We start from the raw sequence: 27,690 nt of genomic DNA on the forward strand, positions 1-27,690 counted from the left end.
ACAGCATGTTTGAGTGTCACTTGAAAGGTTCCAGTGGAGAAGCTGAAGAAGTAGGTAAAGGTAAGAATAACCAAGGGACAGAAGTCCTGGAGCAGGGAGGAGGGAATGGGATTCTTTAAAACCTCTTCATCAAGAAACTAGGAAAAAAAACCAAAGTTGTACCATCTCAGATTTCAGAGAAAGGGAATTTAGAAGGAAGTAATATAAGCAAAGAGCAACAATATTCTGTGACTGTTTTTAATAATAACTAGGAAAATTCCTAGTGCAGTTAACTCTGAACAAAATTCATTCCCACCTGCATAATACAAGATAGACTTACTCAGAGTGACCTTGGTAAAAGGTGTGATAATAAAGAAAGGAGGTGTCATTATGTCTTCATTGTAGCTTTATATGAAGCCCTGGTCATTTACCGTATCAGCATCAGCAAACTGAACACTGAATGATTCTTACTCCAAGAGGCAAGTCTTAGTGGTTTCTATTTTAACTGAAGGAGAGATTAATTTCTGTGCAAGGTTGAAAAAGGTGACCACAAATTCTTTGGGCTTCTTTCATCAAGAGGTGAAGTCCATTACCCCACGCCTTAACTCTGGGCTGGCTTTGTTGTTGTTTTGGCCAATAGAATATGGCTGAGGCGCTGCTTCCAAGATTAGGCCTGAATTGAGATGCCCTAGCAGCCAGGCAGCACCTGCCAGAGCATGAATAAGGCTATCTTGGACCGCCCAGCGTAGCCAACCTGTGCTGAATGAAGCCACATGAATATGCCCAGGAGAAACTAGCAGAAGAATCACCCACCTTGCCCACGTTAGAGATATAAACCACTATTTGAGGCAGTTTGTTATGCAGCAAAACTTAGCCGAAACTATTACCTTGCTACCTTGACTGCTGGTGTAATTTCCCATCTCATGGAGTCACAGAGTTTTCTTGCCAACTGCAGTGAGTTGGCAAATGGGAATGATCAGTAGCCTCAGTGTGTTTTCTGATCCACTCCATCCTGTATTATCATCTGCGAATACCGTTTTTCCTTTAAATGCAATGTGTCTTTCAAAGCTGACTTGAATTTCTCACCTTTCGAGTTACCTGCCATTTGGACTCACTTATTTGGAGGAGATATGTAAAGACCCAGCGTAATACCTGTATGCTCAATAAAAAGTATTTGCTGGTACTCCTTCCTGCCCGTCGTGTGACCTGACTGCTCTGGGCTTCTGGGGGCTCCCCCTAAACTCGCTCCACGAAATGACCCCTCCAACCTGGCACGCCCGCTCTCCTACCTTCGCCCAGGGCTGGCCGTTATCTCTGTGCTGTCACGCGGGGAAGTCCCATCTGAACTGGGGCCTTATGACCTTCGGTACTTTTATTCGAACGTAGCCTGCGTCCCTGCCTGGAACCTGGTTCCCGCCCTGAAGGACCCTTACTTAGCACTCCTGCGGGCTGCCGGGACCCCACGGCTCCGCAGGCGGAGAGACTAGGCGCGATCCCTGCGCGCCCCTCCTTCTCTTGCGCTTCAGGGGGCCGGCCCTCAGGGGGCGGGGCAGCATCGCGCGCAAGGCCTGCCGGTTGCTCGGGGTCGTATGACGCACTTTTCCAGCTCGAGCCCTCACGAGGCCGTGGGTACGACCGGAAGCCGCAGGTGGGTGAAGCGGAAACGCTTCAAACCGGGATGTTGCGGGCCGTAGCGCGTGGGCGGCCGTGGGGTCTTGGGCGCGCGCGGTGTTTCTGGCGGTGGGTCAGGACTTGCGGGTCGCCTCCGCCGGTGTTGAAGCCTCTTGTGTGCACACTTTCTCCTCAGCACTTGGGACGACCTAATTTCACTGTTAGGAACGGTTGATCCCGAACACAGGAGGGAGGGTAAATATCGTAAAACATGTTGGACGCTAGCTGTGTGCACGCCCCCTGGGAGCCAAAAGGGCGAAGTAAAACATGCACACGACCGTAATGAGATTCTGAGTAAGTTGTATATCATTAGAGAGGGGACAAAATAATAGGGTCTTGGCGAGGTCTTATGAAGAAGCTGCGCCTGCCTAGAAAGATAGATGGGATTGTGCTGTTTTCGCTTTCAGTTCAGTGATGGGGAGCCGTGTTTGGCAGTGCAGAGGTAGCGAAGTGTCCCAAGAACATGGAAGGTAAGGAAGTCTTCCGAGGAAAAACTTCAAAAAATTAGTCATTAAAGGGTGAGAGTAGAAAGATTCAAAGTGATTTTGAAGGAACAAAATTTAACCAGAACTTCAAAGGCTTGACACTATCCCAACGACTGTGAAATATCCTGAAATACCGTGCATTACTCAGTCGGGGTCTGATCCGCTACTGGAGCATAGAATAAAAAAAGAGGGGCACACCTGTGCCAGATGAATCCACGCCTTCTCTAGGGGAGAGAGGGTATCCCGGCTTAAGAGCAGGGGCTCTCCTGAGTTAAGGAAGTGTCTTCCCCAGAGCCCATTCCGTCAGACGTTCATATCATGTAACTCAGTCCTTTTCTGATTATGTATTCACCAAGCAAACTTAAGAGTTGGCTTGTCACCAGACCTACAGTGAATAATTGCACAGGCTCATCTGAATATCTGATAGATGGTCTATAGTTCTCTTTGTAAATCAATAAGCTGGCAGTCAGGGATTTTTGGACATCCCTTTGTTTTCACTTTTTCTCACTCTGTGTGATTTTTTCTTATCTTTCGGGGTTCAACTGAAATGTCACATCCTCACTGAGGTCTGTTTATTGGTTTACGTGTTCAGGTGCTTAGAACAGCTTCTTGCATCTTTTCTCACATGATGCCTTTTTAATGAGGCTTAGCCTAACAACCCTATTTAAAATTGCAATGTAAGTTTTCTCACATACACAGTTACAATCCTCCCTTTATCAGCTCTACATTTTTTTTTAATAGACTGAATCTCGCTCTGTTGCCCAGCCCATCTCGGCCCACTGAAACCTCCACCTCCCGGGTTCAAGCGATTCTCCTGCCTCAGCCTCCCGAGTAGCTGAGATTACAGGCGCCTGCCACCACGCCCAGGTAATTTTTGTATTTTTGGTAGAGACGGGGTTTCACCATGTTGGCCAGGCTGGTCTCAAACTCCTGACCTCAGGTGATCTGTCCACCTTGGCCTCCCAAAGTGCTGGGATTACAGGTGTGAACCACCTCGCCCGGCCATCTACTTTTTTTAATAGCCCTCCTTATCACCTTTATTCATTTGACTCACTGATGATTCCCAAGTGCTAAGAACAATGTCTGTCATGTAATTGATGAAAACTTTGTTGAATTAATACCTTTGTTGTGTTTTATTCACACTGTATATACAATACCTGGATGAAGAGAGATATTTTTAGCACTATTAAAATACATGCATTGGCTCAATACATGAATTGGATCAATTCTGGAACCCTAACAAGATCACATTTTTGACCAAAGTCAATATCTTGGACTATAGTTAATTTATCAAGGTAAATGCCACTTTGATGTGTCTTGGTTAGGAATCTTTGTTCACTTGAGGGAATACATGGTATATGATAGGAACAGTAAGCACAGAATAGAGATGGGAAAGGGAGAACCCTGTCATAACAGTTAACATTTCATATTTGCCAAACATGAATGGCTTATGCATATTAACACATTTAATTCTCTCAACCATTTTATGACGTCTGAGGCCACTGAAGCAGCTAGAGGTTAAACCACTTCCCTAAAGTCATTAGTAAGTGGCAGAGCCAGGATTAAAAATTTAAGTCCTTAACTACTTTGCCATCCTGCCACACTCTGCACATGCAGACAAGAGTAAGAGCCTTAATCTTGGGAAAAGATATTTCACAAGATCTTTGACAATTTCCATATCCACAGACACCATCCAGCTTATTAGTGACCACCACTCCTATTTGTTACTTTCTCCTTTAAGGCTGCCCCTACCTGAACTCTGGATCCCAGTACCATCACTTTCTCAAGGACCTCCCTTCTCCAGTGTTGCCCTCTCTTGACTCCCCTACCAGCATCTAAACATGCTCAGATCTATTGCATCTTAAGTCCTCTCCTAACTCCACATTCCTTTCTACCTACTGCCCTAGCTTTTCCACTTCACAACTAGAATACCCTCATTGTATCCACCTTGGGCCTCCTATTTACTCAGTACATCTGGTTCTTACCAAGATCACTGATAACCTTCTTGATACTGTTTAATAGATCCTTTTCAACCCTCATCTTATTTGCTCAATCTTTGGCATTTGGCACTGTTGACCATCTTGTCTCCTTGAAGCTTCCATAATAGCATATTTAAAATTTTTCTGCCTTTTCTTCTATCCTCAGCTTCCTTTGGGAGCTCTCCCTCCTTCTTCTGTATGTCCGTTAAATGTTGCTGCTCTTCAGTCTTATGTCGCAGGCCCTTAAATCTTCTCACTGAACCACCTTCCTGTGGCCTCAGTTACCATCCATTGAGCTCTGTGCCGTTGGCCGCTAGTTCAACAGTCAAAATGAACCAATTATCTTAACCCCATACTTCCTCTTCCTATAAAATCTGTCCTAGGAAATTTCACCTCTTTGCCAGGCCAGAAATCAGGGCATAATATTAATAAAATAGTTAGCACATATTGTGTACTTTCTTCAGTGCCAGGCACTCTTCTAACCACTTTATATGTATTAGCTCATCAGACTCAGCCTGATAATATGAGATGAGTCCTGTCATTATCCACATATTAGATAACAAATCTGAGACATAGAAAAGTAATCTGCCTTAGGTCATTCAACTGATAAAGGATAGAGTTGGGATTTGAATGAGGGCACTCTGGTTTGAGCTTGTAATCATTATATCATAAAGGACATGATGCTTGACTTCTCTTTCTCTCACCCTAATTCAACCTATTGCCAAGTATTGTACATTCTCCATGCTTAAAATCTCTAGGCGGTGTCCCTGAAGTATAAATCCAAAGCCTTCATGCCTGTAATCCGAGTGCTTTAGGAGGCCAAGGCAGGAGGACTGCTTGAGCCCAGGAGTTTGAGACCAGCCTGGACAACAAAGTGAGATTCATCTCTACAAAAAAAAAAAAAAAAAAAAAATAGCCAGGCGTGGTGGCACATGCTGGCTAAAGGGGGAGGATTGCTTGAGCCCAGGAGGTCGGGGCTGCAGTGAGCCGTGATCACACCACTGCACTCCATCCTGGGCAATAAAGTTCAAGCATTTCACTTGGATTTAAGGTTCTTTATAATCTAACATCTACTTCTCTTGCCTTCTTATTAACTCCCCATTCTTGTATTCCTAATAACCAGCCAGTAGAATTAAATTATTTGCATGGGTCCTATCTCCTTTTCCACTAAGCTGTTGCACATTGTTAGAATTCTTTTCTTTATCCCTTTTATGTCTCAGCTTCAATGTCACATCCACTAATTAGAGCATTAGATGGCGCTCTACTGTACTTAACACCTATCACAGCATTTAGGACACTGTATTTTAATTATTGCCTTACTTGTTTTTTAGTATCTCCCACTAGATTGTGGAGGTACTTGTTTCTTGAAGGCAAGGACAGGTTCACCTTCTTTTCTTTTTTTTTCTTTTAGACGGAGTCTTGCTCTGTCGCCCAGGCTGGAGTGTAGTGGCACGATCTCGGCTCACTGCAAGCTCCGCCTCCCGGGTTCACACCACTCTTCTGCCTCAGCCTCCAGAGCTGCTGGGACTACAGGCGCCCGCCACCATGCCCGGCTAATTTTTTGTATTTTTAGTAGAGACGGGGTTTCACTGTGTTAGCCAGGATGGTCTCAATCTCCTGACCTCGTGATCCGCCTGCCTCGGCCTCCCAGAGCTGCTGGTACTACAGGCACCTGCCACCATGCCCGGCTAATTTTTTGTATTTTTAGTAGAGACGGGGTTTCACTGTGTTAGCCAGGATGGTCTCGATCTCCTGACCTCGTGATCCGCCTGCCTCGGCCTCCCAGAGTCCTGGGATTACAGGCATGAGCCACTGCGCCCGGCCAGTTCACCTTCTTAATGTCACTCATATCCATCCCCTTCTCTCTCTCTCTCTCTCCTACCGTACTTTAGGCCCTCATTATCTCTAGCATGGACAACTGCCTTAGTCCATTAACTGTTCCCCCTGTCCCTAGTCCATCCTTTATTTAATCCATACTCAACCCTGCAGAGGCAGATTCGTATAACAGCTGAGTTAACACTTCCTGCTTAACACTTCAGTGGATCTTAGCTGCCTTTTAAAAAGTCCAAATATTTTGGTTCATTACATGAATTTATCTCCTCCCATTTTCTATCTCCTTATTACCTTGTACCTAGTAGGAACTCCATAAATACTTGTTGAATGAATATGGTACTGTGTCAAAGTCAGTCAAGCAGAACCAAGAACAAAGAGGTTAACCAAAGTAATGCAGTCTCGGTTGCGAGGCTTCCTAGGACAGTATAGCCATAGGCTTAAGTGGAAGTCGAAGACTAGTAGTGTAACTCTTTCTCTTAGGAGGGAATCCCCAAACATACCTTACTATTAGATGACTCTTTGTCTTTGCATATGCCTGGAATATGCTCCTCGACCTGGCAAACTTATCAGATTTGGTGACTCAGTTCAAGTATTCCTTCCTCTATTAAACCTCTCCACACCTTTCTAGACAGAATGTAAACTGATTCAACTTTTTGTAGGTTAGTTTATAAACTACAACAAGAGTGATGAAAATATGAAGACTCTTTAATCTAGAATTGTACTTCTAAGATATTACTTAACTAAATGATTTGGGGCCAGGTGTAGTGGCCCATGCCTATAATCCCAGCACTTTGGGAGGCTGAGGCAGGAGGATCACTGAAGCCCAGGAGTTCAAGATCAACCTAGGCAACGTAGGGAGACCCCCATCTCTACAAAAAATTTAAAAATTAGCCAGGCATGGTGGCGCATACCTGTAGTCCCAGCTGCTTCAGAGGCTGAGATGTGGAGATTGCTTGAGCCCAGGAGGTCGAGGCTGCAGTGAGACAATTACAGAGTGATACCCTGTCTTAAAAATAAAAAATAAAAAAGCCTAGCTACCTAGTTATGAACTTTCTTTATTTAGAACCAAACTCTTAACCTCAAGTTATACACTTTAATAATCCATTCTATTCCCAGTTCTTCAACCTGAAGGAAAATTATATTCTAAGAAATAGAATTGGAATAGAATGATTTAAGACCATAAGTAATCAAAATACTTCATTTTCATAGCTAGTATTTTCAACCTTTTGCTGCCTAATATTTCATTAGCAATGGTAACATGAATAATGTGGAAAGCATCCAAACATAGTGAATTTATTCTTAGCCTTTGTATATAAACCTGCATACTCCCAGTTGCCTCTCTCTCTGACCTCAAGGGTTCATCCTAAGTTAATATTGATCTAAATAAAAGTTATGCTGCCAGTAAATCATATATCCCAAAGTCAAACAGGAAATTATTTTTAAAGTGTTATAAAGACATAATGAAAGCTTTCCACGGAAATGTTCATGAACACATCGTTGATAACCAGAAAAACTAGAAGCCACCTAAAATTACAGACTAAGAGACTGAGTAAACTTGTTAACAATGGAATATTAAACAGTCATTAAAGCTGATGCAAAATAGATTTAATGGGCCAACGCGGTGGCTCATGCCTGTAATCCCAGCACTTTGGGAGGCTGAGGCGGGCAGATCACCTGAGGTCAGGAGTTCCAAGACCAGCATGGCCAACATGGTGAAACCCCATGCCTACTAAAAATACAAAATTTAGCCACACGTGGTGGCAGGCGTCTGTTATCCCAGTGAGGTAGGAGAATCGCCTGAACCTGGGAGGCGGAGGTTGCGGTGAGCCAAGATCACGCCACAGCATTCCAGCCTGGGTGACAGGGCGAGACTCCGTCTCAAAAAAAAAAAAAAAAAAAAAAAAAAAAAAAAAAAAAAAAATATATATATATATATATATATATATATATATATATATATATATATAGATTGAATGTCGAATGAAATAATAGTATGGGGAGGGAAATGTGTGTGCGTATACATGCTTAGAAATAAAATGGGTTTACACCAAAATGTTAATTGTGATTAGGACTATCAATGCTTTTATTTTTTTCTTCTTGCTTGTCTGTATTTTCTCATTTTTCTCGATGAACATTTGTTACTTGTGAATTCAACATAATTTGGCTTTAAGATATAGGTAATGTGGCTGAGTGCAGTGGCTCATGCCTGTAATCCCAGCACTTTGGGAGGCCAAGGTGGGAGGACTGCTTGAGCCCAGGAGTTTGAGACCAGCCTGGGCAACATGGTGAAATCCTGTCTGTAAGAGAAAAAAAAAAGATATATTACATAATGTATTTGCAGCAGACTTATTGTTTGAAAACTGTGAAATTATTTCAACTGAAATTATTTGAAATTTGTCTTCATTTATTTCTTTTGAATACTTGGTTATAGCATTGCTAAAGACTAATTGTAAAGCTAAAAGCCAAAAGCAACTGCACTGGATACTTTAAGTTTGGATTAAATAACCGATAATTGATAGTTAGAAAATAGAATTTAATGTTCCTTTTCTCGATGAATTAATTTGTTTGTCTTCCATTTTTAAAAGCATGCTGATCCCATTTTCAATGAAGAATTGCTTCCAGTTACTTTGTAACTGCCAGGTCCCAGCAGCTGGCTTTAAAAAAACAGTAAAAAATGGGCTCATTTTACAGTCAATTTCCAATGATGTCTATCAAAATCTGGCTGTGGAAGACTGGATCCATGACCATATGAATCTAGAAGGCAAACCAATTCTATTCTTTTGGCAGAATTCTCCCTCTGTTGTAATTGGTAGGCATCAAAATCCTTGGCAGGAATGTAACCTGAATCTAATGAGAGAAGAAGGTATAAAACTGGCTCGGAGAAGAAGTGGAGGAGGAACAGTCTACCATGATATGGGTAATATCAATTTGACTTTCTTTACAACCAAAAAAAAGTATGATAGAATGGAAAATCTGAAATTAATTGTGAGAGCTCTGAATGCTGTCCAACCCCAGCTGGATGTGCAGGCTACCAAAAGATTTGACCTTTTACTTGATGGACAGTTTAAAATCTCAGGAACAGCTTCTAAGATCGGCCGGACTACTGCCTATCACCATTGCACTTTATTATGTAGTACTGATGGGACGTTCTTGTCTTCTTTGCTAAAGAGCCCTTACCAAGGGATCAGGAGCAATGCCACTGCTAGCATACCTTCCTTAGTGAAAAATCTTTTGGAAAAGGATCCCACTCTGACCTGTGAAGTACTAATGAATGCTGTTGCTACAGAGTATGCTGCTTATCATCAAATTGATAATCACATTCACCTAATAAACCCAACGGATGAGACACTGTTTCCTGGAATAAATAGCAAAGCCAAAGAACTGCAAACTTGGGAGTGGATATATGGCAAAACTCCAAAGTTTAGTATAAATACTTCCTTTCATGTGTTATATGAACAGTCACACTTGGAAATTAAAGTATTCATAGACATAAAGAATGGAAGAATTGAAATTTGTAATATTGAAGCACCTGATCATTGGTTGCCATTGGAAATACGTGACAAATTAAATTCAAGTCTTATTGGCAGTAAGTTTTGCCCAACTGAAACTACCATGCTAACAAATATATTACTTAGAACATGTCCACAAGACCACAAACTAAACAGTAAATGGAATATTCTCTGTGAAAAAATTAAGGGAATAATGTGATTCCAAGTAAATGTCTTAATACAGTTTCAATTAGAAAATAAAATGTCTCATACTTGCACATTGTATGTCAAAAAAAAACCTAGTCTCTTTTAGTAACGTCAAAAAAAAAAAACAAAACACAACAACCTAGTCTCTTTCAGTAACTTCTCCCCATCTGAAATTCTTTATCACCTATCCCTATCTGTGTATTTCTTCTGACCTCTAGGATCCTCTTTCTTCTCTTTCTTCCTTCATTTATTTTATTTTATTTATTTCATTTATTTATTTTGAGACAGAGACTCACTCTCACCCAGGCTGGAGTGCAGTGGTGCGATCTTGGCCCACTGCAACCTTTACCTCCTGAGTTCAAGTGATCCTCATGCCTCAGCCTCCCGAGTAGTGGGACTACAGGGTTTTGTCACCATGCCCAGCTAATTTTTTCTATTTTTAATAGAGACAGGGTTTCACTGTGTTGGCCAGGCTGGTCTCAAACTCTTGGCCTCAAGTGATCCGCCGACCTCAGCCTCCCAAAGTGCTGGGATTACAGGTGTGAGCCACCATGCCCTGTCTGTTCATTGATTTTAATACCTGGCATGTATTTATATTTCAGCTGCTGCTGCTTTTACTCTCTTGGGGCTATATATAATATTGGACACTCTGACCTCAGACTTAGTTCTCTGTTTTTCTTATCTCTCGGAGATATAACCCAGATTTCTTGCCACCTCTCCTCATATCTCAAACTCTAAAATTCTCCCTTTTAGTTATATTTTCTTATCTTTCTACTCTCCCACTAAAAATCAAGGCTGTTGCACTTTTCTAAGCTCTTAACCCTTCCCTAATCTCTCCTTGCATCATTTCCCTTCTATCCCAGCCTGAAATTTACTTTATGCTTTACTTTCTTACCAGTATTCTCATTTGCTTCTCTCCTTTGACCTTCTACCATAGCCACTTTTTAATTTTAGTCTAAACAATTGATTTTCTACTCTTTTTGGCAGGTGATGCTGGGGGGAAAGATCATATAATCATTGAAGATTAGCCCAATTTGATATTTATAATTTTCAACTTATGTATCTTTCTGCTGGTGTCAGATTTAATTCATCTCTGGTTGAGTTCCCCTCATTCTTAAGGGGAATGTTTCCACTCTTCTCAAGCTCAGAATTTCACTACTCTTACCTTGTCACAAACCTTGATTCATAATTTGGTGAGAGTTGAGGCCTTCAGAAATGAGTCCCTCCAGCCCCCATGGCCCCCCTCCTCCCCTCTCCACTCCCTTTCTCTTCTTTCAAGACAGGGTCTTACCCTCACCCAGGCTGGAGTGCAGTGGCATGCTCATAGGTCACTACAGCCTTGAACTGGGCTCAAGTGATCCTGTTGCCTCAGGTTCTGGAGTAGCCGGAACTACAGATGCTCAACACCATGCCCAGCTCCCTCTGTTTATGAGTTATTTTCTTTTAATATATCTCAGTAGTTCCAGGCCCCATCCTTTTTTTATTTTTAGGAAGAGCAGGCATGGACACAGGGTTTTGCCTACAATTGATTATCTCAGACTGGGGGTAGGGTGAGTGATTTTATTTTTCAAGGTGTTCTTGGGACAAACATGATTGGCAGTTTAGCAGGTTTAATGGGCAGGTCCTTTTGTTATTTAAAAGCAATATTAAATACCAAGTAAACACAACTTTGAAGAGATTACTCATGAACATTTCACACTTGTTACCACCTATGAAAATTATTTTTTGAGAAAGGTTAAAAATCCTGATATGATGTGCTTTGGTGCAGTAATACCATGTTTCTCCAGAGAGAGGATATCATCAGGCAAAGGGTGTTAAGGGCTTCGAGTTCCAAATTGGAAATTTGACCAAGTAACCCCTGAAACATATGGACTCAAGGTATGTTTTGCAGTGGTTTCCCCAGAACTTTCTGAATGTTTGCATATGGGGATGAGAGAGGAGTCAAAATGGCATACACACACACACACACACACACACACACACACACACACACACATATATATATAGTCTTATTTTTTTGAGACAGAGTCTCATTCTGTCACCTAGGCTGGAATACAGAGGTATGATCTCAGCTCACTGCAACTGCTGCCTAGTGGGTTCAAGTGATCTTCCTGTCTCAGCCTCCCAAGTAGCTGGAACTACAGGCTTGCACCACCACGCCTGGCTAATTTTTGTATTTTGAGTGCAGACAGGTTTCACTATGTTGGCCAGGCTGTTCTTGAACTCCTGACCTCAGGTGATCTGCCTGCCTCAGCCTCCCAGAGTCCTGAGATTACAGGTGTGAGCCACTGCACCTGGCCTTTACTCCTAGATTTCTTATGAGATTGGATGGATGGGAGTATACATGGGGAGTAGGGCAGTGTATATCAAAAGTTAGGTTGGGGTGTATTATATTTGAAATGTTTGTGTGCTTCTGAGATGTCATACAGGCAGTTGAATAACTCCAAGGAGAAGTCTTGGCTTAATTTATAAATTTGAGGGCTGACCGCATATAAATAGTATTTTAAGTCATGAGAATGAATAATTTTAGACTTTTATAATTCATCTAAAGTTTAAATTTTAAACTATTAAATATTCAGCATCTGGGTCCCCTTATATGTTTGCGGACTTCTCCACCTGGTAGGAGGTAGAGCCTACTTCCTTCTATGGAAACAAAAGTTTACTATACTCTTTGCTGGCCTTCCTTGAAGCTCAGACGTGGGCACATGACTTAAGCTGTGCCAATCAGATGCAACTGCTCCATATTTTGAATTAGACACTAGTGATGCAGAACATCTGGAATGATGAGAACCCTTCTCTGGAAGTAGCGACAGGGGCCTGAATTTCTGGGGTAATGAAGGCAGTGAGGCTAGCGTGATAGTTTCCAAGCCAGTGATATCAGTGGTGTAGGCTACTGCATCCAGCCCTTGCATCAGTGTCAGCAGGGGTGTCATCTGATTAGTTCTGGGTAGTGATTCTAGATGTGATTTTTCACTCCAAAACCTCTGTGTCTCAGTCTATAGCTCAACTACCTACTATTCTTATAATAAACCCCTTTTTTGCTTATATCAGGTAGGAGCAGTTTTTGTTGTTTTTTACTAAGAACACTTAACCATGTAATCACTTAGGGAAAGAGTGTGAATTAAAAAAAAAAAAAAGAGGTTACTACCTAGTACCTAGCTTGGGAGAACTTCGGTATTTAAAATGTAAGAAGAATGGAGGAAGAGAGTGTGTTTCATGAAAGTCAAGAGTTTCAAGAAGGGAGTAGCCAACTGGGTCAAATGCTTCTGAAAGGTCACATAGTACGAGAGTTTAAAAGTGCCCATTGAATATGGTAGTACAGAGATCACTGTTGACCTTAGCAAAAACGATTTCAGTGGAGTACCTGGGGCAGTCGCCAGACTGAAGTGAGTTAAAGCAAATAGGTGGTGAGGAAATAAGAAAAAAAAAAAAAAAAACATACAGAGAACACTCTTTGAAGAAATTTTTCATGAAGAATGAAAAAATAGGGTGGCATCTGGCTCGAGATGTGTGTACTAATAGGAATGATGCAGTACAGCAGGAGAGATTGCTCTAAGGCCCAAGTCCTTGTGGAGGCTAAAGGAGGTCAGATCAAGGTCACTGCTAAAAATCTGGCCATCATCCTTATATATTAGGAATACTGACTCTAATTTTATAAATTTGATCTCTCATTTTTTTAACTTAGCTTATGTTTCCTTTTACTCAAGTTTTGTATATTTACATGACCAAGTCTTTTGCTCTTAAGAGTTCTGGGGCTTTCTGTTATACTCAGTTCATTAAGTGGGGTTTTAAATATATATATATATATATATATATATATATATATATATAAATTTTTCATTAATTAGCTCTGTAATACGTTTAGATTTCTTTGTATGGTGTCAACATCATTACAGAAAAATTTCTTTATGCGGAGTAAGACAGAGGCCTTAATGTTATTTTTTCCAACCATTTGTTGAGCTCTTTCTCCACTAACTTAAAATGTCACCTTTATTACATATTAAATACTCATTCATACACAATTTCTCTCTTTCAAATGTGTTTCTGGACTCTTTTATTCTATCCCACTGATTTATTTGCCCATGCCTATGCCCATACATTTTTAAGAAAATTATTGTAGCTATGTCTTTATAGCTGGTCAAGCAAGTCTCCTGGTGTTACTCTCTTTTGTCATTTAATTTATAAATTAAGTTAGAGAGAACTGACATTAAGTCTTCCCATTCAGGAATACAATTTGTCTTTCTAGTTACCCTAATTTTCTTTTATGTCCCTCCATAAAGCTTATAGTTGTTCATATAGTTCTTAACACATTTCTTGATATATTTAAGCTGTACCTGGTAGGCTTCTGGTGCTCTAATTAGATCTGGGGATAGAACTCCAAATATCTAGAATGGATAGCATGTCTGTAGACTCTTTTCTTTAAATATCACTATGTCTTAGCCAGGATTTTTATAGAAGTTGGATAAAAGTTAATTGCACAGGGTTGTGGATTGCTAATTCTCCATAGTAACGATTCATATGCTTTAGAAATCAGAATTGTTATTTTAACATGAAGGTAAAGAGGCCTAACACATGTTCTTACCTTAATTAAGAGCCACTCCATTTCCACGTGGCATCGGGTACTGGGCAAGATAAGCAAAGATACTCTGCAGAAAGGAACTTCGGATCAGGCCAACACTTGTTCAAGTGTTTTCCTGAGACCCTGAATTTCCATATGATACAGCTTAGTAAATTAGTTTGAGTCTAAAATTTTTCAGATTCAGTATTATCAGCACCTGAACCTGAAAAGATTTAAAAAAAAATCAGGAACTGTTCTGGAAGCCCTTCCTGGCCTTTTATGCCAGCTCCATCTTGTACCTACCAGCTGTCCCACAAAAGGAAAACAGTGTCCAAGGCTTGCCCAAGACCACTCTGTCCAACCTTGTTCCCATGGTCTCTACCTTTGGTCCTCTACACTGTTTTAACTCTGTTGAATAGTCCTCAGATGTGACATTTATATGTGCACTCTCCAATACTGAACACTGGTACTATAGTTTTCCTCTTACATATGTTAGCTTAGCTGGGTTTTTTTATTTGTTTCTTTTTTTATTTTGAGATGGAGTTTTACTCTTGTTGCCCAGGCTGGAGTGCAATGGCATGATCTCCGCTCACCGCAGCCTCCACCTCCAGGGTTCAAGCAATTCTCCTGCCTCAGCCTCCCAAGTAGCTGGAATTACAGGCATGCGCCACCACGGCTGGCTAATTTTGTATTTTTAATAAAGACGGGGTTTCTCCATGTTGGCCACGCTGGTCTCAAACTCCTGACCTCAGGTGATCCGCCTGCCTTTGCCTCCCAAAGTGCTGGGATTACAGGCGTGAGCCACTGTGCCCAGCCAGCATGTTCTTTGAGCTGTGGACCGCCCACTACCTCTAGCATACAACCCCTCTTCAGCCTGTCTCCATGGAATCTATTCTGTCTCCAACCACACAACTGGCATCTGGATGAAAAGCTTACCCAGAACAGTTGATTCTAAGCTGCAAGGCTTTACAAATGTGCCAGCCAAAGTGAATGAGCTGCAAAATGCATTTGGATAACTGAATGGGTTGATTTGCCTTCATGGAGTTAGGTAATACTGCACAACTGCATGATGGTAAATGTTTACCAAAGACAATTCTCTTAATTGTAACAAAATTAACATTTTACTTTCCTGTTTATTAGACCCCAAGCCCATCTGTCTCTTTTTTTTCTTTTGAGACAGGGTCTGGCTCTGTCACCCAGGCTAGAGTGCAGTGGTGCAGTCTCAGCTCACTGCAGCCTCAACCTCCTAGGCTCAAGTGATCCTTCCACCTCAGCCTCCCAAGTAGCTAGGACTATAGGCACATGCCACCATGCCCGGCTAATTTTTTTTTTTTTTTTTTTTTTTTTTTTTTTTCTGATACAGGTTGCCCAAGCTCCATCTGTCTCTTTAAAAGCACTCTAATCCATGGTGTCTTTCCCTCCTGGACTTAAAACTCCCACAGGCAAAATTAAGATCTAATTCATCTTCCTAATAGATGCTTATTATTTGTTGACATGCTCCCGCAGCCAAGTAACAGAGAAGCTGGTAAAATGTTTAAATTAGCTGTATTACTTGAAAGAAACATTGTAAATCTGCTGAGTAATATATTTACAAAAATATTTAGGATTGTTCCCACAACTGAATGATGGATCCATAAATTAGTAGAAATATAAAAGTTTATTGTTAAATTCATACATTATAAAAGTGATCTTTTAAAAAAAATCCAATATTCACTTAAAGTAGACATAATACAAATTAGGCTACCACCCATCATATATTTTTTGTATGCTTCTTATGAAAAATGTCTACTGTTGTTTCATGACATGGTCTTAAATCAAAATCACAATATCCAAGGGAAAAACGACTCTAAGAAGAGAAGAAAAGAGTATCATTAAAAATGATACAAAAACAGTGCTACACATTTACTCATAAGATTATATCCTACCTGTGGTTTCTTAAAATAATCAAGTCCCCTTCCAATCTTAATCATCCATCCATTGTTGAACCTGTTGAAATTAGTATATAGTATTATATTCAAGACATTTAAGTCAGACTATTAATAAAGCTGTAGTGTATTAAGTGTCAGCAAAATTTCCCCCTAACAAAGCAAACCACTTCCTCCAGTGGCATGAGTTGAATCAAACCTGGGGTTCATTATGAGCTGTGTCCACAATGAAAACAGTCATAGAAACAATCAGTTGATTTAATTATCTGATAGTTTAATCTTGAATTTCAGCTTGTTGATAAAACTTTTTCGTGTTCTGCTAACAAGTGGTGGCAAAGTGTATTCAGGGAAACTGGTGGTGTTTCAAGAGTTCCCCTACCTAGAGATGGGGAATGTGCAGGAGGAGCCCTGGACCCTGACCTCTGCTTTAACTACAGCAGCTGCATTTTCATCTGTTTTGCATATTTAGTTTGTGATTAAGTTTTTATTAAAACTGAGTGCCCTTGCTATAAACATAACCACTGTGCTAAACAAAAGGAAGATATCACTAAAATAACTGCATATTCTGTTTTCTTATAGACTCAGCAAATTGTCATGCCTACTAGAATATTTAATAACCCCTAAGAAGTAAAGCCACATTAAGTAAATATTAAGTTCACTAGAAAATAAATTATCCTAATATCATAACACTATATATACAGTTGAGTAGACAGAAAAGTGTTCTCTTTTTCTATATGACACAGAACATGTAAATACTATTCCATTAGGAAATATTAAACTCACACACAAAACACTTGGCTTACTTTGTCAAAAAGAAAGCCAAGTGTTTTTTTTCTTCTCAAAAGTGAAAAAGTACTAAATGGAGTTTTATTTGAATTTTAAATATTTATAAATTATTAAATATTTATAGGCAATTATATAAAACATTTACAAAAATTTTAAGTATATATCAACTGCATAAAAATTAAAACATTATTGTAGACTAACCTAATTTCTCGGTCATGTATTGAAGAAGAGTATTGAACTTCCAACAGCACTCCGTGACTCCTGAGTGACTCTTCTATTTCTTGCAGGCCTCTACTTTGCTGCACTTGCTCAATGCCCTGTTAATAGCAAAAATACGATTATCTGCCGCAGTTATTATTACTATCTTAAATTATCCCTAAGCTATACAATCTATATCACAGGTGGATTAAGATGGAAATGTTCTATACTAGTTTCAATGTCTATTATCTCAAAAAAACAACCAATGTGAGGTAGTTTAAAGAGCAATTATTTTTATCAAAATCATCTTTTTTTCTAATGTGAACATAACTCCATCCTGTCTCCTTAAATGTAGTTTAGAATAGTTTTAATCATCCAGGTGGAGCTGACTGCTTTTGAAATCAATCGTAGAAATCATAATTATTTAGAAGCATTCTTATTTTAAGTCAAAACCAAGATAGAGATGCCCACTACCATATCATATCATGCTACCATCCCCCAGATATAATAATTGGTAAAGAAACAAAATTGTTCATAGTGCAGACAGTGTGATTGCCTCCTAGAATATCCAAGAGACTAAACTAACAAACTATTTGAATAAGTGCATTTAGCAAAGTGGCCAAATACAAAATCAGCATCCTAAAATCAATAACTTTTTTTATGACATGTTATGCATACTGTTAGATAATAAGTTAATTCCCAAGGAAACAAATCTAGCTGAAGCACTGCATCTGTGTTCTCCTTGACTGGACTACATCTTGTAACTGAATAAAGTTAATAAGAAAGAGTAAGTGCTTTCAGGTACCTACTTCATCCAGAGAGGTGAGAAGGTGAATAGTTTTTACTTTACATGGTCTCTTAATAAGCATCTCACAAAATCGAAGAAAGTTATACAGCTAAAAGACATTAGAATGGATTATTACTAATTTAGTACATTGAATATGATATTTCATTATATTTTAGTATGTTCACATACCTGATGAGTATGTCTAATATAAGGATCTTCTATCCAAACTTCTGTAACTGTCTCATTAAGGTATTCGCGAAAAAGTGACTCATAACTGAAACCTGTTGCATTCTCTTCTATTTTAATTTGCTTGTGATATTTTCCATCTATAAAACACAGGCTTCAACAGTAAAACCAGTGACCATTTTTTTTTTACACATTTTATATTTTATATAGAGTGATTAATCAGCATCAGATACATATTAATTTTTTTAACTTATTCAGCAAATACTTATTGAATGCCTACTAAATATCATATACATTGCAGGATGTTACACGTACAAAGGTATTTAAGGCAAACCACTCCATTAGTGATTTCTGCCTTCACAGAGGCTAGGCAAGGGGGAAAATCTAGAGGTTTCCTGGAACAGGTCCTTGAGCAAGATCCTATAGACCAGGCAGTTTGTTGAAGGGAGTAGTGTATATATAAAGGTATCCAATAACTCCCTGTCGCCATGGGTAGCACCACATACTGAAACTCAGTGGCTATCTGGTCCTCCTCTTCAGACTTGTCTTTTTATGTCTTGCAATCTAATAACTAAAGTGAGTATTAAACATGAATGCAGGGCAGAGCGCGGTAGCTCACGCCTGTAATCCCAGCATTTTGGGAGGCCAAGGTAGGTAGATCATTTGAGGTCAGGAGTTCGAGACCAGCCTGGCCAACATGGTGAAACCCCAGCTCTACTAAAAATATAAAAAGTAGCCAGGCATGATGTCAGGTGCCTGTAGTCCCAACTACCTGGGGGGCTGAGGCAGGAGAATCACTTGAACCCAGGTGGATGTTGCAGTGAGCTGAGATCATGCCACCGCACTCCAGCCTGGGCAACAGAGCAAGACTCTGCCTTAAAAAAAAAAAAAAAAATTAATGCAGTATAATATGAAGCTTCAAAGTCTTTCTTGGCACGTGTACAGTTTTAAACAGAAATTTATAGTACTTCTTAATAAGCTAAAGACTGGGATGTCACAGGATCAAGAGGATAGATCTATTGCTTTTGTTCATTCAAAATGAATATTGAAAAAGTTATCAGAAACCTTTAAGGTTTTAAAAAAATATGACCCCTGGCTGGGCATGGTGGCTCACACTTGTAATCCCAGCACTTTGGGAGGCTGAGGCGGGAGGATCACCTGAGGTCAGGAGTTAGAGACCAGCCTGACCAATATGGCAAAACCTCAACTCTACTAAAAATACAAAAATGAGCCAGGCTTGGCGGCGGGTGCCTGTAGTCCCAGCTACTCGGGAGGCTGGGACAGAAGAATTGCTTGAACCCAGCAGGCAGAGGTTGCAGTAAGCAGAGATCGCGCCACTGCACTCCAGCCTGGGCGACACAGCGAGACTCCGTCTAAAAAAAAAAAAAAAAACCCTAATGGTAGCCCCTAAATTATACTTTACACTTTGTTTAAAAATCAGTAGTTTGGATTCTGTTCCAAATATTTCCACATAGATAACATTGGCAACTATGCCTTATTTTTTAAGCCAAGATAGCCGTATAGAGGTTAATTTAATTCCATGTACTCAAAACCACAATGCTGGAGGTACTATATTTCATCAATGTTTTGGAGTAAAATTTCATTCTAAATTTCAAATCGGGGCTAAGGAAACATAACTTTATTCCCACTGAACAAAGGAGCTCAGTGGGGGGTCCCCAGGGTATGTACTGATACAGGATAGTAGGAAGAGATGGGGAAAGGGGTGTAGAAAGTATAGAGAGGAAGAAAAGCTGGGGCCTGGGGGCACTGGCTTTTGAGGGCAGCAGTACCTTTGGCTATAGAAAGCAGCAAGTATGCACTCAGGTAAGGGTGGAAATGGCCATTTACAGACATTTGTAAACTGGATGCTTAGGAGTAGGGAACTAATAATAGGGAACAATACCTACCTGACCTCTAATCATTAGGAATGCTTAACTCCTGAGGTGTTTTGATTCACAACAAAATCTGAGAGAAATCCCAGGAGTTTCTTTAGCTTCTTTCATGATTTTGGTCATTTCATAAAGGGAAATATAAATAAAATACACAATTTACATTCAGTATTCCCTGTAGTATTTCTTAACATAGGGTCCACACATAAGCTTCATAGGGATTTGTGAACCCCTTAAAAATGGCATGGAACATTCTCCAGTAAGTATAGCTTTCATGAGATGTTCAAAGGGGTGTCTGATATTCCCACCCCCAACTAAAAACAAAAGCCAAAACAAACAAACAAACAAAAAATTAAGAACAACTCCTGTATGGGAGTGGAAATACAGATTAAATCCTGTAAGCTCCCAGGGACAACTGGTCCAGACCACACAGAGCTCCAAAGGGCAGGAGCCAGAAACATTGGGTGAATGGACAGTCACAGTTGTTTATGGATGCATTTTCTAAAACAACCTCTTTACCTTCTTTTTCTTGGTCCAAGTACTTCTTTATGTTTTCCGCTCTGTCCATGTATTTGGAAATTTTTTCTCTGAGATTACATCTCTTAGTATTATCTTTGGTACCTACAAATTTAAAAATATATATTATCAAGTATCAAAATAGTTTTTCTATTTAATTTGGGCATTATTTTCAGTTTCTCAAGTTTTCTACAAATTTCCTATCCTCTAGTATGGCTTGCCTCAGTCCTCAAACACACACAATAAACTCAAATTTGGCTTGAACATACAAGACCTTCATATTTACACGAAGCGTGATGCAGCTTGGTTTAGGAGTGGGAGCTCTTGACACTATGTCTCATCTCTGGGACATCAAATCTGGTGGGATGAAAGGTGGCTCATTACATGTCAAACTCATGTCTGAGCACTATTTTATCCTAACTACCCACAAGTTTGAAATTTTTGCATAATTAAAAGTAGCAAAAAATATTTATCTTCCACAAAACCAGCTACTCTTCCAGACCTCCCCATTATAGTTAATGCACATTTTTCCAGCTACCACAAAAATGTTATTTTTGAATATACATGATCATAAAGTTTTACCCAACCACCCCTCCTCCCAAATCAGTCAACAAATCACTTCTTGTTCCTTCCCTTTTTTCCTTTCAACATCGCTTATATTTTCCATAAATAATCTCATTTTTTGTTTGTTTGTTTTGAGACGGAATCTCGCTCTGTCGCCCAGGCTGGAGTGCAGTGGCATGATCTCGGCTCTCTGCAACCTCCACCTCCCGGGTTCAAGCAATTCTCCTGTCTTAGACTCCTGAGTAGCTGGGACTACAGGCGCCCACCACTATGCCTGGCTAGTTTTTGTATTTTTAGTAGAGACTGGGTTTCACCATGTTGGTCAGGCTGGTCTCGAACTCCTGACCTCAAGTGATCCTCCTGCCTCGGCCTCCCAAAGTGCTGGGATTACAGGCGTGAGCCACCGTGCCCGGCCCATTTTTGTATTTTTAGTAGAGACGGCGTTTCACCATATTGGTTAGGCTGGTCTCCGACTCCTGATCTCAGGTGATCCGCCCACCTCGGCCTCCCAAAGTGCTGGGATTACAGGCGTGAGCCACACTGCCCAGCCAATAATTTCATTTTAATCTCTCATTTTAAAAAACATTTTGAGTTAATTTTTTATATTTACAGAAAAGTTGCAAAAATGGTACAGATAACCTCCTTCACCTAGATTCTCTTAATGTTAACATATCACAAACCATACTACAAGTATCAGAGCTAGGAAATTAACACTGAAACAATACTATGAACTTATCTACAAACCTTATTTGAATTTCACCAATTTTCCCACTAATGAAAGTTTGCTTTCTGGTCCAGGATCCCATATTGCATTTAGTTATGTGTCCTTAGTCTCCTCCAATCTGTGTTAGTTCCTTAATCTTTCTCTGCCTTCTATGTCCTTGACATTTAGGAATAATATTGGTCAGTTATTTTTGCAGAATGTCTCTCATTTTGGACAGTCTGATGTTTTCTCATCATTAGACTTGGTTTATGCATTTTTGGCAAGAAAATCACAGAAGTGATGTGCCTTGCTCAGTGGGTACATGATGTTGATGTGTCTTACTGCTGATGATATTAACTGACCATTTGGTAAAGGTGTAGTTCAGATTTCTCCACTGTAAAATCACTATTTTCTCTTTTGTAATTTGTAAGTACCTTATGGAAAGATATCCTGCTTCCCATCACTCTTTCTCCCACTAATTTTAGCATCTGTTGATGGTCCTTGCCTGCAACAACTATGACTGTGATGTTTGCAAAATGGTGGTTTTCTATTTCCGTCATTCCTTCTCAATCTATTTATTCAATTAAATAGTATGGGCTCAGGGATATTTATTTTACTCTATGAGTTATAATCCAATACTATCATTTTCCTGCTCAAATTTTATCAGCTTTGGCTTTGACATCTCCTTCATGTTAGTTCCTGTGTCCTTTTGTCAAGCCCGCATCGCTATTATGTCCTTACATTTTGATTCAGGATTTTTTTGTTTCATTTTGTTTCGCTGAGACACAGTCTGGCTCTGTCGCCCAGGCTGGAGTGCAGTGACATGATCTCGGCTCACTGCAACCTCTGCCTCCCAGGCACAAGGAATCCTCCCACCTCAGCCTCCCAAGTAGCTGAGACTACAGGCACACATTACTATGCCTGGCTAGTTTTTGTATTTCTTTTCTATTTTCTGTAGAGATGGGGTATCACCATGTTGCCCAGGCTAGTCTCGAACTCCTGGGCTCAGGCAATCCGCCTGCCTTGGCCTTCCGAAGTGCTGGGATTACAGGCATGAGCCACCATGCACAGCCACAAGATGTTTTAAACCAAATTTGTCCAACTCTTGCATGTGGCCCAGGACAGCTCTGAATGAGGCCCAACACAAATTCATAAACTTTTTTTTTTTTTTTGAGACGGAGTCTCGCTGTGTTGCCCAGGCTGGAGGCGCAATCTCGGCTTACTGCAACCTCCGCCTCCCAGGTTCAAGCGATTCTCCTGCCTCAGCCTCCGGAGTAGCTGGGATTATAGGCGCCCGCCACCACACCCGGCTAATTTTTTGTATTTTTAGTAGAGACAGGGTTTCGCCATGTTGGTCAGGCTGGTCTTGAACTCCTGACCTCAAGCAATCCACCCGCCTGGGGCTCCCAAAGTGCTGGGATTACAGGCGTGAGCCACCACACCTGGCCATTCGTAAACTTTCTTAAAACATTATGAGGGGTGTGTGTATGTGTGCGTGTGTGTGTGCGCGTGTGTGTGTGTTTTAGCTCATCAGCTGTCGTTAGTGTTAGTGTATTTTACATGTAACCCAAGACAATTATTTTTCCAATGTGGCCCAGGGAAGCCAAAAGATTTGTTAAAACTCATCTTGTTTATTTTTTGCCCCAGCCCTGAAATACCCTTTTCCAAGGAGCCTCGGTCACTTTTATTGAAGAATGGCATTGAGAAACCAAATTCTGGGTGCCAGCTGTGTTCATTGCTGCTGGGGGAGTCCCACCACTACTTCTAGACCCTCTCAGTCAATACAGCTAGGAGGTATATGTAGGCTTACTAACACATACATCTATATATACATACATCTATATGTATTTGTTTCTGTCCATCTATATAAATATTAAAAACCATGAGTTCATGCTGATAACTTTGATTCCACAGAGCTCATTCTAGCTTTCCCCCATCCCTCTCCTGCCCAAATAAAAGCAAAACACAACCTTTCCTCAACCTTGCTAGACTTTAAATTATGTAGTAGTTCAGTCTTAGTCATTGTCCTTGATCAGCTGGCAGTGTCTCACACATAGACCCATCCTTCAATCATTACGCTACAGTTTCTCAGGCTTGGACCCTTACAGCCATCTTTGATTCCCATTAACCTTACTCCCATATCTAATCATGTGCCAGTGCCCCCTCCTTATCTTAATACTGGTATCATCTCCCTGGTTCATTCAGGCCCTTATCATGCCTCATCTTTTTAAAAAGGTTTTATTAATTTTAATTGGCACATAATAATTATACATATTAATGGGGTACAATGTGATGTTTTGATACATGTATACATTGTGTAATGATCAAATCAGGGTAATTAGGATATCTGTCATCTTAAATATTTATTGTTTCTTTGTGGTAAGAACATTGAAAATCCTTCATTCTAGCTATGTTGAAACATACAACACATTATTAACTCTAGTCACCCTATTGTGTAATAAGACACCAGAATTTATTCCTCTTATTTAACTGTAAATTTTTTTTTTTAAGAGAGGGTTTCACCATGTTGGCCAGGCTGGTCTCGAACTCCTGACCTCAAGTGATCCACCCACCTCAGTCTCCCAAAGTACTGGGATTGCAGGCGTGAGCCACTGCACCTGGCATCTAACTGTAATTTTGTACCCTTTGACCAACCTCTCCCCATTCCTCCTACCCACTGCCCTTCCCAGCTTCTGGTAACCACTATTCTACTCTCTACTTCTATGATATTAACTTTTTTAGATTCCACATATGAGTTAGATCATGTGGTATTTGTCTTTCTGTGTCTGGCTTATTTCACTTAACAATTTCCTACAAGTTTGTCCATGTCACAAATGACAGGATTTCATTTTTTATGGCTGAACAGTACTCTACTGTATATATGTGCCATATTTTCTTTATTCATCTGCTGATAGACACTTGGGTTGATTCCCTATCTTAGCTATTATGAATAGTGCTGCAGTAAGCTTGGGAGTACAAATATCTCTTCAACATAATGATTTCATTTCCTTTGGATATATACCCAGTAGTGGGATCAATGGATCATATGGTAGTTCTCTTTTTAATTTTTTGAGGAATCTCCATACTGTTTTCTATAATGGCTATACACACCTCTTATTTTGATTCCAGCAGGAGCTCCTTAATTGGTCTGCTTAACTTCAGTCTCTACAGGTTAATGTCTACTTTACATCCTTGCCATATTCAGTCCTTTATTCAAGAAATATTTATTGAGAACTAACAACATGCCCAGCACTGTTCTAAGTGCTGTGGATACAGCAGTTCGTAAAACAGACAAAATTCTCTTCTATTGTTCAAGTAGGAAGAGAACAATAAAAATAAATTGGCAAAACATGTATATTAGATTGAGGTAAGTGCTATTAAATAAAATAATGAAGGAGGACAGGGAGTGCTGGGATGGGGTTATAATTTTACACTGGAGGTCTGGGAAAGCCTCACAAAGAAGGTGGTATTTGTGTAAAGGCCTGAAATAGGAGAGAGAGTGTGCCATGCAAATAAATATCTGTGAGAAAAGAGCACATTCCTGAAAGAGACAAGCCCTGAAATGCAACTCCAATTATGTTACTCCTTTGTAAAAACCTTAAATGGTTTCTCCTTGCCTGTGGAATAAGTTAAAATCTCCTGGTAGTCAAGGCCATCCTCAATGTGATCCAAGCCCCTATCTACCTTTAAACTTTACTTCTCACTCTTCCTCTTCAGATACATGCTCAACCAAACTACTTATTTCGTAAGACAGCACAGGAATTTGAAGACTCTTAGATGAATTTCTGACTTCTGAAATTATTTTTCCTCCAAAGCCCCAATCAAACTCCACCTCTACCTTTCCACCCTCACATGACCTTTAACTGTTTAAATCCTCATTGCGTTTATCTATAGATATCTCTCTCCTGGCACTTATTCCCTGTATTAGCGCTATTTGCATTTTGGTCTTAACCCATCTATGTGACATCATTGTCTCTGTAACCTCTACGGGATCAGTGAAGCACCCTAGAGCAGAACTGTGATTCTCCTGCTTCAGATTCCTAGTGCAGCCAAAACTTGAGCAGTGTTCCACCTGACCAACACAGTACACCATCTCTCTTTTGGGATTCAGTATACCAGAGTCGTTGGGGCCTTGGGCTCCGACTGTGACTCTACCACCTCCTAGTGGCAGAACTTGAAAGCGAACAATACTTTTTATGCTGTAAAACGAGAATACCATCAACTCCTACTTGATAGGGCAATTGGTACGGATGAAACGAGATCATGCTTTTAATGTTTTCTGCAATGCCTGGCACTCAGCACTGAAACGTGATATCTATGCTTATTGCTGTTGTCACTGTCATCATTATCATCAAATAATGCCCCAGGCAAGGTAGAGTTTACAGTTATTTTTTCTTTTTTTTGAGACGGAGTCTTGTTCTATTGGCAGACTGGAGTGCAGTGGCGCGATCTCGGCTCACTGCAACCTCCGCCTCCCGGATTCAAGCAATTCTCCTGCCTCAGCCTCCCAAGTGGCTGGGACTACAGGTGCGTGCCACCATGCCCGGCTAATTTTTGTATTTTCAGTAGAGACGGGGTTTCACCATGTTGGCCAGGATGGTCTCGATCTCTTGACCTCATGATCCACCTGCCTCGGCCTCCCAAAAAAGTGCTGGGATTACAGGAGTGAGCCACCGCGCCCGGCCGGTAGAGTTTGTAGTTCTGACCAAAGCACCAAACCATAAAGGGCTCCCCTCTGCTGCCCCAAAGCTTCTGTAACACTTTAATTATAAGAAGCTTAAACTAGAAAGAACAGAGGGAGCTTAGTCCAGACCGGGAGTGTCGGGGGTTGGGGAGCAGGAGCTGATCTTATCAATTTAATACATAAATATTGAGTGTCTACTGTGAGCCAGGGTTGTGCTGGGTGTTAAGGAATATTTGGGTATTTCTCAACATTGAATAATACGAAAAGTCTCACTTGTCTCCTCCACAACCCTGCGCATTTCTCACACCGAACCTCATCCGTTTAAGAAAAACTTTTCTTCTTCTACCGCTACATAATTTTACTTTGGCTTGCTTTAAATGCAAATGTTTAAACAGAAAATTAAAAATAATCGTATAATAAACACCCTTATTACCCATCACCGAAATTTTTAAAATTAGCATTTTTGCTCAAATAGAGCTTCGATTTTTAAGAAATTTTTGCTTAAGGAAAATTAACTAAAGACATCATAGCATCTCTTTCTAAAACACTTTGGTCTGCATCTCTAAAAATTAAGGAAAGTTTTGGAAAAAAAATCATATTGCCTAAGAAAATAATTTTAATGCCCCCCAATCTATATTCAAACTTTTCTAATAGATCCAAAAATGTCTTTTAAAGTTCGTACAAACCCAGGTCCTATCAAAGCTTATATATTACATTGCGTTATATCTTATATCTCTTAAGTCTTTTAAAATCTAGACTAGTAGCCTCCCCACCTTTTCTAGGTAACATCAATCTATTAAAGATCTAAAAGAAAGCGGCCCAGTTGTCCTATAGAATATCCCACCTTCTGTATTTAACTGCTTCTTCGTGGTGTGGAAAAATCATTTTTAACTCTTTCACTTCACCCCAGACACAGCAGGAACCAGCTCCTTTTCCTCAGGTCCTCCCCGCCTTGGCTCATTGCTCACCTTTCAGAACCTGCAGGAGCAGATCAATCCCCTCTTGGTAACACACCAGAGCCTGCGGATACCGCGACTCCGAATCTAGTTCTACTGCCCGCTTTAGCACAGTGGCTGCAGCTGTGCTCTGCGGGTCCTGCCTCAGCCCGGACTTCGCCATAATTCTGGAAGTTCTCCTCCGCCTCAACCCAGGATGAAGTTGAGCGGGTCTGCTGCGCTTCCGGGAAGTGGTCATGTGATACCCAGGCGCCTGCGCTCTCTTTCTAGGGACTTTCCTGAGTGGGAGGGATTTC

At 40.5% G+C, this 27,690-nt stretch overlaps 3 protein-coding genes across 28 annotated transcripts in view, besides 9 other annotated features; 1 reads left to right on the top strand and 2 right to left on the bottom strand.

Annotated features, from left to right (window-relative positions):
• The window catches only part of TSGA10 (testis specific 10), a 157,706-nt gene extending 156,164 nt beyond the window's left edge, over nucleotides 1-1,542 (bottom strand). For 4 of the 12 annotated variants that reach the window (NR_146053.2, NM_001349013.2, XM_017005041.3 and 1 more), the window contains exon 1: nucleotides 1,269-1,518. Coding sequence is in view for 5 of the 12 variants with exons in the window: in XM_047445931.1 (XP_047301887.1) it covers nucleotides 867-899 (33 nt within the window). In the remaining 7 variants the exon portion in view is untranslated. Of the gene's footprint in view, nucleotides 1-866 lie in introns of all 12 variants that reach the window. The other 8 variants (NR_146054.1, XM_047445931.1, NR_146055.2 and 5 more) reach the window with 6 other exon arrangements.
• Nucleotides 1,150-1,771: an enhancer, noted in NCBI's record as "H3K27ac-H3K4me1 hESC enhancer chr2:99771037-99771658 (GRCh37/hg19 assembly coordinates)". NCBI's record gives its function as "activates a minimal SCP1, AML or CMV promoter by ChIP-STARR-seq in primed H9 embryonic stem cells {active_cell/tissue: H9 hESC(primed)}" and the evidence as "EXISTENCE:reporter gene assay evidence [ECO:0000049][PMID:30033119]".
• Nucleotides 1,150-1,880: a biological region, named in NCBI's record as "H3K27ac-H3K4me1 hESC enhancer GRCh37_chr2:99771037-99771658".
• Nucleotides 1,161-1,360: an enhancer, noted in NCBI's record as "active region_16273". NCBI's record gives its function as "activates an Ori minimal core promoter by ATAC-STARR-seq in GM12878 lymphoblastoid cells {active_cell/tissue: GM12878}" and the evidence as "EXISTENCE:reporter gene assay evidence [ECO:0000049][PMID:35858748]".
• Nucleotides 1,421-1,650: an enhancer, noted in NCBI's record as "active region_16274". NCBI's record gives its function as "activates an Ori minimal core promoter by ATAC-STARR-seq in GM12878 lymphoblastoid cells {active_cell/tissue: GM12878}" and the evidence as "EXISTENCE:reporter gene assay evidence [ECO:0000049][PMID:35858748]".
• LIPT1 (lipoyltransferase 1) lies at nucleotides 1,543-9,713 on the top strand. 7 transcript variants are annotated; one of them, NM_145197.3, is made up of 4 exons: nucleotides 1,543-1,627; nucleotides 2,877-3,002; nucleotides 3,303-3,430; nucleotides 8,533-9,713. In NM_145197.3, exon 4 carries the CDS (start codon nucleotides 8,534-8,536, stop codon nucleotides 9,653-9,655), a length of 1,122 nt encoding a protein of 373 aa, NP_660198.1. In that variant the 5' UTR covers nucleotides 1,543-1,627; nucleotides 2,877-3,002; nucleotides 3,303-3,430; nucleotide 8,533; the 3' UTR covers nucleotides 9,656-9,713. The 7 variants fall into 7 exon arrangements, 5 of the variants coding, with proteins under 5 accessions (NP_660198.1, NP_660199.1, NP_057013.1 ...); NM_145198.3 differs by lacking the exon at nucleotides 3,303-3,430 and adding an exon at nucleotides 4,873-4,988; NR_037935.2 differs by lacking the exons at nucleotides 1,543-1,627; nucleotides 3,303-3,430 and adding exons at nucleotides 1,650-1,944; nucleotides 2,058-2,120.
• Nucleotides 1,681-1,880: an enhancer, noted in NCBI's record as "active region_16275". NCBI's record gives its function as "activates an Ori minimal core promoter by ATAC-STARR-seq in GM12878 lymphoblastoid cells {active_cell/tissue: GM12878}" and the evidence as "EXISTENCE:reporter gene assay evidence [ECO:0000049][PMID:35858748]".
• Nucleotides 1,961-2,040: an enhancer, noted in NCBI's record as "active region_16276". NCBI's record gives its function as "activates an Ori minimal core promoter by ATAC-STARR-seq in GM12878 lymphoblastoid cells {active_cell/tissue: GM12878}" and the evidence as "EXISTENCE:reporter gene assay evidence [ECO:0000049][PMID:35858748]".
• Nucleotides 2,071-2,120: an enhancer, noted in NCBI's record as "active region_16277". NCBI's record gives its function as "activates an Ori minimal core promoter by ATAC-STARR-seq in GM12878 lymphoblastoid cells {active_cell/tissue: GM12878}" and the evidence as "EXISTENCE:reporter gene assay evidence [ECO:0000049][PMID:35858748]".
• MITD1 (microtubule interacting and trafficking domain containing 1) lies at nucleotides 8,003-27,634 on the bottom strand. Of its 9 annotated transcripts, none has more exons than XM_011510581.4 (7): nucleotides 27,407-27,634; nucleotides 20,491-20,592; nucleotides 18,086-18,222; nucleotides 17,919-18,005; nucleotides 17,113-17,228; nucleotides 16,126-16,186; nucleotides 8,003-8,244 (listed from the first exon to the last, which is right to left on the bottom strand). In XM_011510581.4, the coding sequence occupies exons 1-7, from the start codon at nucleotides 27,630-27,632 to the stop codon at nucleotides 8,098-8,100; spliced, it is 876 nt and encodes a 291-aa protein (XP_011508883.1). In that variant the 5' UTR covers nucleotides 27,633-27,634; the 3' UTR covers nucleotides 8,003-8,097. The 9 variants fall into 9 exon arrangements, with proteins under 9 accessions (XP_011508883.1, XP_016858803.1, XP_047299232.1 ...); XM_047443276.1 differs by lacking the exon at nucleotides 8,003-8,244 and adding an exon at nucleotides 14,211-14,288; XM_017003315.3 differs by lacking the exon at nucleotides 8,003-8,244 and adding an exon at nucleotides 14,352-14,423.
• Nucleotides 27,302-27,441: an enhancer, noted in NCBI's record as "active region_16278". NCBI's record gives its function as "activates an Ori minimal core promoter by ATAC-STARR-seq in GM12878 lymphoblastoid cells {active_cell/tissue: GM12878}" and the evidence as "EXISTENCE:reporter gene assay evidence [ECO:0000049][PMID:35858748]".
• Nucleotides 27,452-27,681: an enhancer, noted in NCBI's record as "active region_16279". NCBI's record gives its function as "activates an Ori minimal core promoter by ATAC-STARR-seq in GM12878 lymphoblastoid cells {active_cell/tissue: GM12878}" and the evidence as "EXISTENCE:reporter gene assay evidence [ECO:0000049][PMID:35858748]".

The sequence above is a fragment of the Homo sapiens genome, chromosome 2 (assembly GCF_000001405.40).
Source record: "Homo sapiens chromosome 2, GRCh38.p14 Primary Assembly".
Taxonomy (NCBI): domain Eukaryota; kingdom Metazoa; phylum Chordata; class Mammalia; order Primates; family Hominidae; genus Homo; species Homo sapiens.